Source organism: Homo sapiens, chromosome 8, assembly GCF_000001405.40.
Source record: "Homo sapiens chromosome 8, GRCh38.p14 Primary Assembly".
NCBI lineage: Eukaryota > Metazoa > Chordata > Mammalia > Primates > Hominidae > Homo > Homo sapiens.
In genome coordinates this window covers 48,405,092-48,419,576 of record NC_000008.11, presented here as the reverse complement: position 1 = coordinate 48,419,576, position 14,485 = coordinate 48,405,092, and the positions used below count along the sequence as shown (strand labels likewise).

The 14,485-nt window shown below is 40.2% G+C and overlaps 1 long non-coding RNA gene across 3 annotated transcripts in view; it reads right to left on the bottom strand.

The window, feature by feature from the left end:
* The window catches only part of LOC105375821 (uncharacterized), a 127,805-nt gene that overhangs the window by 55,018 nt on the left and 58,302 nt on the right, over positions 1 to 14,485 (bottom strand). The window contains exon 1 of one of the 3 annotated variants that reach the window (XR_001745892.1): positions 187 to 1,228. The exons of the other annotated variants lie outside the window; for them this stretch is intronic. This is a non-coding gene — a long non-coding RNA (uncharacterized LOC105375821). Of the gene's footprint in view, positions 1 to 186; positions 1,229 to 14,485 lie in introns of those variants that run through there. 3 annotated transcript variants of the gene reach the window in all.

The window sequence follows — 14,485 nt, the reverse complement described above, 5'->3', positions numbered from 1 at the left end:
ATCTGGTAGGAAATAGGATAAAATGGAGAGAAATTTGTTTTGTTTGGGGAGATAAAATAAGCAACAGACCACTGAACTCAGGTCAGAAGAGCACAGCCGCCTGCCCCAGAACTGATGGCAGACAGAGAAGGAAGTGTGTTGGAGGTAGGTACAAAGAAGAAGCTATTTTGAGGAAAATCATCTTACACCCGGTATGGCTCCTCTCTGCTGGAAGGTGACATCCTTGCAAGTAGACCGACCAGATCCCTCATGATGAAAAACATCCCAGGCAATGCTGGCGCATGTGAGAGCTCTCTAGTTTCTTTGTGCAGATTCCTCCTGGAAAGCAAGCAGGGGCCTGCATGATGCACACTGGCCTCTTCCTGAGTGGATTCTCTCACCGAGTCAGTGCAGTTGCCGAGTTTCCATCTGGCTTTGTGCTGTGTGGACCCAGCTCTGGAGGTGAAAACCGCAATCAGAGGGACCTCAGATAGAAGGGCAGCCTCACCCCGGGACCTGAGCCATTTATAACACAGGTCAGCCTAATGGCTGCAAGGCCCTTGTGTTTGAAAAAAAACAAGCTGTGGGCCTATGGGATTTCCATGTGCTTTGAAGTTGCTGTTTATACAAAACATTTCGCTAGCAGTAATTGACTGATGCTTCTTCAATGTACTTCCCAATTGCCCAGAGAGCTTGGGAACGTGACTTCAAGAAGAGACGTATGGCCCCTGAATCTGGTTTGTGTCTAGGTAGTTTCAGAAGTGGTCTCCTCATTGGCTGTGTCCTTTCTCATTTCATCACACATGACCCTCTCCTGCACATGTCCAGAGGGCTTTCCCAACAGGATCCATTACCATTGGGAGAGCCTTGAAAATTGAATGTTTCATTATTTGCTTCCTGGGTAGATATTGTTTCCAAAATGCAAAGCTGTCTTCACTCTGATAGAGGTGGTCTAGGCATGATCTTGGCCACTTTGAACATGAAGCCCAGTGGAGCATGCACAGTCTGACTTGTCATATAGGGGTGGACTCATGAGGCTGTCACATGAGGAAGTGATTGAGAGGATCAAAGCAATTATTCAAGCCAGTCTTGGCAAAAGACACAGGTATTACAACAAAGGGTCATTTGAGGCCCACAGAGAAAGGTCATTGTCGTGGTAAGAGAGCTGGAAAGCTGCCCTGCCACTAATTAGCCATGTCTGAGCCCAACAGATTTTTTAAAATAATATATAATGGCTCTATTGAGATATAATTCATGTACCATACTATTCACTCATTTAAAATGCAGAATTTAATATATTCATAGAGGTGTCCGATCAGCACCACAATTAATTTTCAAATAGTTTCACCATCCCTAAAGAAAACTCGGCCTGGTTTGGTGGTTCATGCCTGTAACCCCAGCACTTTAGGAGGTCAAGATGCGCAGATCACTTGAGTCTAGGAGTTTGAAACCAGCCTGAGCAACATAGCGAAACTATGTCTTTACAAAAAATACAAAAAATTAGCCAGGCATGGTGATAGGCACCTGTAGTCCCAGCTACTCTGGAGACTGAGGTGAGAGGATCTCTTGAGACCAGGAGGCAGAGGTTGCAGTGAGCTGTGATCACACCACTGCATTCCAGCCTGGGCAACACAGAGAGACCCTGTCTCAAAAAAAAAAAAAAATGTTTTAAGAAAGAAAAACCTGTACCCGTAAGCAGTCACTTCCTATTTACAATCAATCACCCCAACCCTAGGCAACCACTAATCTTCTTTCTGTCTCTGTAGATTCCAGGCATATTTTTAATATGCCTGAGCCTCAGTTTCCCCATATATAAAAGACAGGAAACTGGGATGTGTGGATGCTGGAGAAGCCCTCTGAAGCCTCTATTCCTTTAACACTCCTAAGACCTATTATCATGTAATATCCAATTTTTCATGTGATCTTGCAAAATCAGGCTATGGTGCTGGCCCTGGCTTGGATTATGTTATTCGATTAGTTGAAAGAGTGTAAGATTTGTTTGAGAGACCAAGGAGCACATCACATCCCATTTCACTGATAGTCACAGGCTCCACTCTGCCACACACCTCCCTCTGGAGAGTGGAGCCCCTGCTTGGGAGCCTCAACACAGATCACAGAGCACAGTAACAGGATCATTCACCAAGGCCCCAGGTGAACAGCACTGGTCACGCTCTCTAAAGAAAAACAACAGACTCTCTTAGAGGTAGAACAGCACCTGTTCTGGGACACTTGGTCACCGTCCACTCCCAGCCTAAGGGAAGGCTCCAAGTGGAAGCAGTAGATTGGGAGGGGATTTTGTTAAATCATTTTAAAGTGAACAATTAGGTGGCATTTAGTACACACTGCACAACCACCACCTCTCTCTAGATCCAAAACATTTCCATTACTCCAAGGTAAAACCCCTTACCCATTAAGCAGTTTCTCCTTATTTCCCCCTCCTCTCAGCCTCTGAAAGTCACCAATGTGAGTTCTGTCTCTATGGATTTGTCTATTTCATATAAATGGGATTGTAAATTATCATGTCTGGCTCTTTCCCTTAGCATAATGTTTTCAAGGTGCATCCACATTGTATCATGTAGCTGTATTTTATTACTTTTTGTGGTTGAATAATATTTCATTGTATAACTATGTCACAATTTGTTTGTCCATTCTTCTGTTGGTAGGCGGACTTGGGTGGTTTCCCCCTTTTGGCTTATGTGAATAATGCTACTATGAAAATGCATGTTACAGGTACTTGTTTCTGTACCTGTTTTCAATTCTTTGGGGTATATACTTAGAAGTTAAATTGTGGGGTCATACATTAACTCTATGTTTAACTTTTTAAGAACCACCACACTGTTTTCCACAGAGGTTGAATCATTTTACATCCCCACCAGCAGAGCACAAGGGTTCTAATTTTTCCACATCCTTGTCAACACTTTTATTTTCTATTTTTTAATTATCACCATTGTAATGGGTATGAAATGGTAACTCATTGTAGTTTTGATTTTCATTTCTCTATTGACTAATGACATTGAGCATCTTTTCTGGTGTTTGTTGGCCATTTATGTATCTCCTTTGCAGAAACTCTTTTGCCCATTTTTCAATTGAATTGTCTTCTGTTGTTGAGTTGTAAGAGTTCTTTATGTATCCTGGATACCAGATGCCTGTCAGATGCATGATTTCCAAATATTTCTCCTATTTCATAGGTTGTCTTTTCACATCAAAGGATAATGTCCTTTGATGCACATTTTTTAAATACATATAAAGCCCAGTTTATCTAGTTTTTATTTTTTGTACATGCTTTTTGTGTCATATCTAAAAATCCATTGTCAAATCTAAGATCACGAAGCTATATCCCTATGTATCCTTCTAGGAATTTTATGAGTTTAGTTCTTATATTCAGGCCATTGATCTATTTTGAGTTAATTTTGTATATGATGTGAAGAAGGGGTCCAACTTCATTCTTTTGCATGTGCATAGCCAGTTGACCTAGCACCACTTGTTAAAGAGACTATTCTTTCCCCATTGAAAGTCTTGACACCCTTGTTAAAACTCAATTGACCACAAATGGTTTGTTTCTGGGCTCTCAATTCTATTTCCTTGATTGATAAGTCTATCCTTATGCAAGTACCACATTGTTTTGGTTACTGTTGTATGTAGCACTTTTCAAATGGGGATGTGTGAGTTCTCCAACTTTGCTCTTCTTTTTCAGGATTGCTTTGGCTATTTGGGGCTCACTGAAAATCCATACGAATTTGAGGGTCAACTTCTCCATTTCTTCACAAATGTTATTAAAATCTTAATAGTGATTGCATTTAATCTGTAGTTTTCTTTGGATAGAATTGATGTCTTAACAATATTGTCTTCCAGTCCATGAATATGGATTTCTTTTCCACTTATTTAGACCTTCTCTTTAATTTCTTTCAGCAATGTTTTGTAGTTTTCAGTGTACAAGTCTTTCACTTACTTGGTTAAATTTACTCCTAGGTATTTTACCTTTTGGATGCTATTGTAAATGGATTTTTTAAATTTCCTTTTTGTATTTTTCATTGGGGGTATACAGAAACACAACTGCTTTTTGTGTGTTAATTTTATACCCTGCAAATTTGTTGAATTCACTTATTAGATCTAGTAGCTTTCTTAAGAATTCTTTGGTATTTTCTACATATAGAATGTATATGTAGAAAATACATGTGTATGTATATGTAGAAAATACCTCTCTGTGAAAATAGAGATAGCTTTCCTTTTCCAGTGTGGACATCTTTTTTTCTTGCTTGATTGCTGTGCCTAGAATTGTCAATACAATATTGAATAACAATGGTGAAAATGGGCATCCTTGTGTTGTTCTTGAGTGGGAAAGTTTTCCGTCTTTCACCATTGATGTGATGTTATCTGTGGGTGTTTCATAGATGTTCTTTATATCATTGAGGAAATTTCTTTATATTCCTACTTTAATGAGAATTTTTATTATGAAGGGTATTAAGTTGTGTCACATGCATTTTCTGCATCAGTTGTGACAATATTATGCATTTTCCCCTTTGTTCTAATTATGTGGTATAGTTCATTGATTGATTTTACTATGTTGAACTACTTTTGCATTTTTGGAATAGATCCCACTTGATCATGGTGTATAATCCTTTTAGTATGCTGTTAGATTCAGTTTACTTGTATTTTGTTTAGGATATCTGCATTTCTATTCAAAAGGGACATTGTTCTGTACTTTTCTTGTGATGTTTTTATCTGGGTTTGGTATAAAAAATATGCTAGCATCATAGAATCAGTTAATAAATGTTTCCTCTCTCATATTTTAGAGGAGTTTGAGAAAGATTGGTGTTCTTCTTTAAATGCTTGCTAAAATTTACCGATAAACCCATCTGACCCTGGACTTTTCTTTGGTGGAAAATTTTCCTACTACTGATTCAATTGTTGTACTCGTTTATAGGTATCTCAAGATTTTCTATTTCTTCTTGAATCAGTTTTGATTATTCGTATGTCTTTAGGAATTTGTTCAATTCACTTAGGTCATCTAATTGGTTGGCATACAATTATTCATAGTATGCTCTTATAATCCTTTTTATTTCTGCAAGATCAGTAGTAAAGTCCCCATTTTCATTTCTAATTTTAGTTATTTGTATCTTCTCCTTTCATGTACATCTAGCTATTAGTTTGCCAATTTTGTTGATCTTTTCAAAGAACCAACTCTTGGTGTCATTAAGTCTTTCTGTTGGTTTCTATTGTCTATTTTATTTGGTTTGGATCCAATCTTTACTATATCATTTTTCTGGCTAGCCTTGGGTTTAGTCTGCTCTTCTTTTTCTAGTACCTTTAAGTATAAAGTCAGGTTATTGATTTTCTATCTTTCTTCTTTTTTAATGTATGCGTTCAGGATTATATATTTCCCTCTGATCTTTACTGCGCACTACAAGTTTTTGTATGTTACAGTCTCACTTTTATTCATCTCAAAGTATCTTTTAATTTCCCTTATGATTTGTTCTTTGACCCCCTGGTTGTTTAAGACCGTGCTTAATTTCCACATATTTGTGAATTTTTCAGATTTGGCCTCTGATATTGATTTCTAGTTTTATCCTACTGTGTTTGGAAAGGATACTTTGTATGACTTCATTTTTTTGTTTTGTTTTGTTTTGTTTTGTTTTGTTTTGTTTTGTTTGAGATGGAGTCTCACTCTGTCACCAGGCTGGAGTGCAGTGGTACGATTTTGGCTCACTGCAACCTCGGCCTCCTGGGTTCAAGTGATTCTCCTGCCTCAGCCCCCTGAGTAGCTGGGACTACAGGCACATGCCACCATGCCCAGCTAATTTGTATATTTTTAGTACAGATGGAGTTTCACCATGTTGGCCAGGATGGTCTCGATCTCCTGACCTCATGATCCACCTGCCTTGGACTCCCAAAGTGTTGGGATTACAAGTGTGAGCCACCGTGCCTGGCCAACTTCAATATTTTTAAATTTACTGAGGATGGTTTTATGGCCTAACTTGTGGTCTGTTCAAGAGCATGCTCTGTGCACTTGAGAAGAATGAGTATTCTGCTATGGTTTGACAAAGCATTCCATATATGTCTCTTAGGTCTACTTGGTTTATAGTTATTCAAGCCCTCTACTTTCTTGTTGATCTTCTGTGTAGATATTCCATTCATTACTTAAAGGGGGATACTGAAGTCTTCAACTATTATTGTGAACTGTCTCTTTCTCCCTTCATTTCTATCCATGTAATTTGGGGCTCTAATTTGATACATGTATGTTTATAATTGCTACTTCATGATGAATTGACTATTTATCAATATATAATGTCCCTCTTTGTTTTTGGATGAAAGTCTATTTTGTCTGATATTAATATAGCTACCCTTACTTTCTTTTGGTTACTATTTGCATAGAGTAGCTTTTCCATCTTTTCACTTTCAATTCATTGTGTTTTTGGATCTTTGGATCTGAATTGTCTCATAGACAGCAAATTTTTTTAATCCATTTTGTCAATACCTGCCTTTTGAAATGGAAAGTTTAATCCATCTACCTTTTATGTAATTGAATGTAGGGAAGGAAGGACTTACTAATAAGGAAATACTTACTTCTGACATTTTGCTATTGTTTTCTTTATGCCTTTTTTGTCTCTCATTTCCCCCATTATTATCTTCTTTTATTTGTAATTTTGTGTAGTAAACCATTTTGATACCCTTCTCATTTTCTTTTATGTATATTCTTTAGATTTTTTTGTTACCATAGAAAATATAATTAACATCTAAGTGATATATAATTTAGTTTTAATTTAATTTATAGCAACTTAACTTCAATAGCATGTAAAAATTCTGCTCCTGTACAGCTCAACTGCTGCCCATTTATGTTGTTGTTGTCATCACAAATTAGATTTGTATACATTGTATGCCCACTAATACATATTTATAATTATTCTATGCACTTGTCTGTTAAATCATGTAAGAAATTAAAAGTGGAATTGAAAACCTAAAATATAATTATGCTGGTTTTTATATTTGCCTATGTATTTACCTTTCCTGGAGATATTTATTGCTTCATGTGGTTTCAAGTCACTGACTAGTGTTTTATCATTTCACTCCTTTAGCATTTCTTATAAGACAGGTCTATTGGTGGCAAACTCCCTCAGCTTTTGTTTATCTGGGAATGTCTTAATCTCTCCCTGAATTTTGAAAGATAATTTTGCCAAATATAGAATTCTTGGTTGACAGTCTTTTTCTTTCATTTGACTTTAAATGTCATCTCCCTGCCTTTTGCCCTTCATGGTTTCTGGTTAGCAACTAGAAGTCTACTAGTAATCTTACTGGGGATCTCTTCTATTTGACAAGTCACTCCCTCCTTCTATTTTCAAGATTTTTTTTTTTGGCATTCAACAATTATATACCATGTCTAATGTGGATCTCTTCAAATATATCTTATTTGGAATGTGTTGTGCTTCTTGGATTTGTAGATTCATATCTTTTATCTAATTTGGGATATGTCCAGCCCTTCTGTCTTCAAATATTCTTGCTGCCCTCTTCTTTCTCTGTCTTTTCTTCTTCTTGGATGCCCATAATGCATATGTTGGTTTGCTTAATGGTGTTCTACAAGTCCCTTAGGTTCTATTCACTTTTCTTCATTCTTTTTCTTTCCATTCCATTTATAATCTACATAATCTCAATTGTCCCTTCTTCAAGTTGACTGACTTCCTTATGTCTGGTCAAATATACTGTAGAAATCCTCCAGTAATTTTTTTTTTTTTGAGATGGAGTCTCACTGCAATGCCCAGGCTAGAGTGCAATGGCACAATCTTGGCTCACTGCAACCTCTGCCCCCTGGGTTCAAGTGATTCTCCTGCCCCAGCCTCCCGAGTAGCTGGGACTACAGGTGCACACCACCGTGCCTGGATAATGTTGTATTTTTAGTAGAGAGAGGGTTTCACCATATTGGCCAGGCTGGTCTCGAACTCCTGACCTCAGGTGATCTGCCCACCTTGGCATCCCAAAGTGCTGGGATTACAGGCATGAGCCACCGTGACTGGCCCAATAAATTTTTCATTTCAATTATTATACTTTTCACCTTCAGAATTTCTATTTAGTTCCCTTTTGTAATTCCTATGCCTTTATTGATATTCTCAATTTGTTCATACAGCATTGTTCTGGTTTCCATTAGTTCTTTGTTTATGGTTCCCTTTAGCTCTTTCAGCATTTTTAAGACAGATGACTTAAATCTCTTTCTAATAGCTCCAGTGGTTTGACTTCCTCAGAGATGGTTTCTGTCCATTTATTTTATTCATTTGAATGGGCCACATTTAACTATTTCTTTTTATGTGCAACCTTTTGGTTAAAAACTGGAAATTTTATATAATAATATGGCAACTCTAGAAATCAAATTATTCTTCTCCTTTAGGGTTTGCTATTTATTGATTGAAGGCTGCAATAATCTGTAATCTATTTGTGCATTGAGTTTGTCAAACTATTTTGTTTCAAAGACTGTATTTCTTGTCATGTGTGGTCAATGAAGGCTCTGTTTCTTTAGCTTATTTTCAGCCAGTATTTTGATAGAGATTTCCTTGAATGCCCATAACTGAAAAATTTAAAACAAACAAAAGATCTCTCCTCATCTTTGCAAATTGACTGTGCTGGGTCACTCTTTCAACATTTAACTGATCTGTTTACAACTCTGCCTCAGCCTTCATTTTGTGCTGGAACTGAACCTACAGATCAGCCAGAAGTCAAACCTTTAAATCTCAAGTCTTTTCAGTGCATGTGTCCTGCCCTGGGTGTACATGTTGCTTTCTAAATTCCGCAGTATACGTGGGTACTTTTAAATGCTTTTAATTTCATGAAGAAACTCTATCTTTCCCTCTCAGGGAAACTTAAATATTCAATTACATGTCTTAATTGTAATCTTTTGCCCAGGAGGTTATGGATTATTTGTTTGCCACACAGTGTTTTGGGGCAATGCCCACTGCTTTTCTACCCCAAATCATTTCTGAGTGAGCCAAAACAGAGACAAGCATCTTGTGTCAGTCCTTCAGGTAGCCCTCAGACAGGTGAGAACAGGCAAATACAAAAATTTGTAAATAGGATTCCTAGAGTCAGAGACCAGAATTCCACCCTGGGAATGCAAGCTGACTTCCTCAAAACTGCTGCCAAGCTGGAAAGGGGGTGGAATAAGAGCAAACAAAAATGCCACAAAGTTTTCCTCCCATTTTTTTAAAGTTGTCTTTTCCTTGATTCAGCATTCTTTTGGTTACTGTAAACCTTTGACTGTTTTCCAGAGTTCTCACAGTTTCCGCTTGTTTTTGACATTTCTGTGGCGGGGCAGGAGCTGCCTATGCTTCCTCTGCCATTTTCCTAACCTGCCTTGCTGAGAGGGGATTTTTCAGAAGAGTTTTTGTTTTAATGGGGAGGAAGGGGTTCTATGATATTCGTGCTCAAGACACACGTACCTCAAGCCAAATAAGGGCACTTCACAGGCCCTGTGGCAACATGAAAGGCCTGTCAGAGAGGTCTTGGGGAATTGGACAGTTGTGACTACTTCTTGTTGAAAAAAGTCTAACCATGATAGGTTACCTAATCTGCCCTGACAGCAGAGCAAGGAGAACAGTCTAGAGCAGGACCTGCACTTCTACTGACAGGGCAAGTAATGGCCCATATCTCCATGAGCAACATTCCACAGTGCTGCTATTACAGCAAAAGCTGAGAGTTGGTTGAAGTGGTCAGGTAGACCACGCAAGTGTCTCCTTCTGAAATGGGTAAGGAAAAGGCAGCTTCTGAGCCCCTGGAGAGGTAACAATGTCAAATAATAACTGCACTAGACAAATGAGACCTTCCTGCCACCTACTCTCCTCCTTCCCAGCCCCTAACTCCAGAGTAGAAGGAAAGGGTGAAGAAATGTTCTCCTTTCCAGTGCCAGGTCCCCAGGCTAGATAAGGACTGAGATGGGGTCAGGGAGGGGAGACACTTTCAATTAGATGAGAGATCAAAGTTAGGATTTAATTCAGGCTTGACTTTGAATAGTTAGAAGTAAATAGGAAAACTATGATTTCTGCCTGAGATCTCCTCAAGAGCAATGAAGAAAACATCAATTGATTAATTAAAATTGGATTGTTTCCTGCTTTGCACTTTCCTAAGTCCATTCAATATATGGGTGACACACATAACTGGAATGTGAGTGGGGAAAAGGAGGGCAGAGAGAAGCAGGAAGTAGTCTGTTGTTTCACATTACAAGTCAGAAAAATTGGGGCAAGAATTCAAAGAAAATTTTAGCATGGTGCATTTAAAAACTTAGGGTGGAAATGTGTTCTCATGACACTGACTTCCCTGCTGTGTTATGGTAAGTGGGAAGGATGGATGTGAGCATGGGTCCACAGCTCCTCTCCAGAGAGGGCCCCTCCTCACTCTCAGGCCAGGACTCCTGGGGGTCTGCTGCTGGAATCCTGGTGAGGGCATGCCCCACCAGGAGCCTGTGTGGGAAACCATGTGCTCCTCGGTGGTTTCTTTAAACTTGGTGCCAGGGAAGCTTCAGCAAGTTGAACATCCCAGCTGTGCTCTGAGTGTGTGAGACGTCCCAACTCCAATATCCACCACAAAGTTAAGAAAGGAGAGAAGAGGAAAGGAAGCTGGAAGTTCTCTGAGTACTGGTAACTACCAAGCCCATCTGGACACAGGGGCTGTGGGGTGGCCTCTGCGAGAGCCACTCTTGTCTTCATGACTAAGGGGATGCCCAGCAGCATCTGCTCATCTTCTTCCGAAATGGACCCTGTTTAGGTTAGTCTTGCTGAGCACTTAGGTGCATGTCTTCCTGGTAATAAAATTGAAATAACGTATTTTCTTGGCTGCTCCATAAACTGTTCTATGAATTTATTCTACAGGAGAAAAGGAAGGAGGTGGAATAAATGTGGCATTGGCTTTTTGATTGTGGTTTTTATTTCCATAAAGCTTAGATCACAAGAATGCATGAGATATTTACACAAATCTTTCCACAATTCCTGTGGCCTGTGGGGGCATAGCATTTCTATGACTTCACCACCGTGGCTGGCGTGTGCTCTCTCAGCAACTTTGCTGGCGACAGGGAGCAGGCCCCACCAGGGCCTGTAGTTCTGGGGCAGAGCAGGCAAGGTTTGTGTGTACCTTATTTCTTCTTCCTTCCATGCTTTTTCTGTAGCAAATTCAACTTCGAAAAGCGGTCTGGGCTTTTCTCTATCATAAAACATGGTGAGTTTTCTTATCATTAAGTACTCACTCTTTCCTAGATCATTTCCTTGGGGATGATAAAGTCAGAGGATGATAACTGCGAAAAACCAGGCTTCATTCACCTTTGCCATGAGAAGACTCAAGGGCTGATCCATCCCAGGTGAGAGAAGCACGGGAAAAAGGCAGCTGTGAGGCAACAAGGCCCATCACACAAGCTTCTCAAGTGATTCAGATTTCTGTAGCTGCAACAGGTTCTCCAGCAGATGGGGGATGAAGCAGCCTGGGAGTCTCGGGCTGCGTGAGGCTAGACTCCAAGCTTCACATAGGCACAGGGTGCACAGCAGGGCCAGGTGGGCAGCCGCTGCAGGAAGACTACCTGCAGGAAGTCTTTAGACGCCAGCTGCACACACCAACATAAAGTAGCAGCAGTGTGTGCGGGTGATGGTTTCCAAGCCACCTGATGTGGAGCATAAATGACTCATCCCCTGTCCAGACACCACCCCGGCTTTTCTCACATTAGTCATCTTATTTCTTATTTCTCTGACTTTGCACTACTGCCCACTAAGAATGTTGGTATCATGATCATCACTTTAAATGATGGGGGACAGGGTTGGTAGAGGTTTGGGAACACACAGACCTCCTATGGCCATGGCCATTTGGCCACGTGAGCCCCTTCTGCACCCTCCTCCACCATCTGTGAGAGGCAGTGCACTTTGGGAGGAAAAGTATAACGTTTAGCCAAGGAGACTGGCATTTAGGTCCTGTCTTCACCACTTCTTAAGCGAGACACATGGTCAGCCTGCCTAGCCTCTCTGCCTCCTTTGCCTTGCCTGTGTAGTGGACATAACCACATCTACCTTGCTGAGCTTGCTGAGGATGGAATGCAGCTGCACTAGGGCAATGTCTGGGGCACAAGAGGTGTCTCAGCAAATGAAATCTGAATAAAGCTCCTGGTCTGAGCTGAGAACAAGCATCCTGTAATTCAGGTTTTAATTATCTTGATTCACCTAACATCTGCAGTGGGCAGAAAGCACTGGGGGCAGCTGTACCCGGCAGCCTGGCTGCCCCAGAGAGTGAGTGGGGCTCCTTCCACCCAAGAAACAGAACACTTTATCCACAGTAGGGAAATCTCAAGGCACCCAAGGGAAATTGTCCGGTGATTTACATGTGACCGTGTGGGCTTCACAGGTGGCAGGAAGAAGACCCAGTGTCCACACTGGGAGTAGGGAGCCCCTGAGAGGAGCCCTCAGGGTCCCAGCAGGAACATGAGTATGCCACATGCTCACATCTGCTCATCCATCTCCAAGGTCCCTTCACTACCTCCATCCCTTATGAGGTTTTCTGGGAAATTTAACTTGTTTTCATGCAGGTTTAACAAGAAGCAATATAGCTTTTATTACATACAAATTAAATAGCCTAAAGGAAAAGTTTCAATTCCATTGTGGTGTTTAAACGTGACCCTGTAGGCTCCGTTCCCTCTGGGAATGCTGGACTCCAGATCATGGCCAAGCATGTTCAGAAGCCAGCAGCCCACAGCACCCTCACAGACCCAGGCCATCTTCCCTCGCTGACCTCAGACCGCACAGCTGTCTCCTTGAATGAACAATAAAATGCCTGGCTGCAACACCAGGCACAGCCAGCAGTTTCATTCCATATCATTTAGCACTTTTCACATCAAGACCAGCAGATTTTAAGAGTCAAAACCTTTATAAACTTCAGAGCTCTTCATAGTGGTTTTTAACTTAAGCAGGGAGTAGAAAAGATGAGAAAATTCCCCCAGAGAGATTTTAAAAAAAAGCCAGTTATTCTTTTAGAAGTCAAAGCATCTTAAATATCTTGATAGGAACATAACACCTCATGCAGATCTATGTGAGGAAGCCCTTCTCTGTGGAACTCAACATAGTATCTGGGAACAGACTTTTTACTAATTCTTTATATACTGCAACCAGATCAGACACAACTCCTCATGGACTGTGATTCTAACAGTGTTTGAAGCTAATCTAGAAATGATTTAAGCAATATCATTCCACAAACCAGGTCAAAACACAAATAGCAGCACCTAAAAATCCTCTGAACATTTCCTTGCAATAGCGACTCACTAGGAAATAAGACTCACAGCCACAGCAGGGCATAGGAAGGGGTCCCAGGTGTGAATGCAGACAGAAGGACTTGCCCAGCTTTTCCTGGGAGCAGCTGGGCACCCACAAAGGCAGGGCTGGGAGTCATAGCGGAGACACTGGGGAAGAAGGACACATCTCACGGAAGCCTGTGAGCATAACAATTTGGGAAAACCCAGAGGAGTGACTGGTTTTCCTCTTTTTTAACTACGGCTGTAGCACATGCTGTATTTTTGCCTTAATATCAATATACAATAAGATAGGTCTTCAGAAATAACACCACACATCTACAACCATCTGATCTAACAAAAACAAGCAATGGTGAAAGGATTCCCTATTTAATAAATGATGCTGGGAAAACTGGCTAGCAATATTCAGAAAACTGAAACTGAACTCCTTCCTTACACCTTATACAAAAATTAATTCAAGATGGATTAAAGACTTAAATGTAAAACCCAAAACCATAAAAACCCTAGAAGAAACCCTAGGCAATACCATTCAGTACATAGGCATGGGCAAGGACTCCATGACAAAAATGCCAAAAGCAATTGCAACGAAAGCCAAAATTGACAAATGGGATCAAATTAAACTAAAGAGCTTCTGCACAGCAAAAGAAACTATCATCAGAGTGAACAGGCAACCTACAGAATGAGAGAAAATTTTTCCAATCTACCCATCTGACAAAAGTCTAATATCCAGAATTTACAAGGAACTTAAACATATTTACAAGAAAAAAACAACCCCATCAAAAAGTGGACAAAGGATATGAACAGACACTTCTCAAAAGAAGACATTTACACAGCCAACAAACGTGGAAAAAAAGCTCAATATCAATGATCCTCAGAGAAACACAAATCAAAACCACAATGAGATACCATCTCACACCAGTCAGAATGGTGATTATTAAAAAGTCAGGAAACAATAGATGCTGGTGAGGCTGTAGAGAAATAGGAATGCTTTTACACTGCTGGTGGGAGTGTAAATTAGTTCAACCATTGTGGAAGACAGTATGGTGATTCCTCAAGGATCTAGAACCAGAAATACCATTTGAATCAGCAACCCCTTTACTGGGTATATACCCAAAGGAATAGAAATCATTCTGCCATAAAGACACATGCACATGTATGTTTATTGCAGCACTATTTAAAATAGCAAAGACATGAAACCAACCCAAATGCTCATCAATGATAGACTGATAAAGAAAATGTGGTACATATACACCA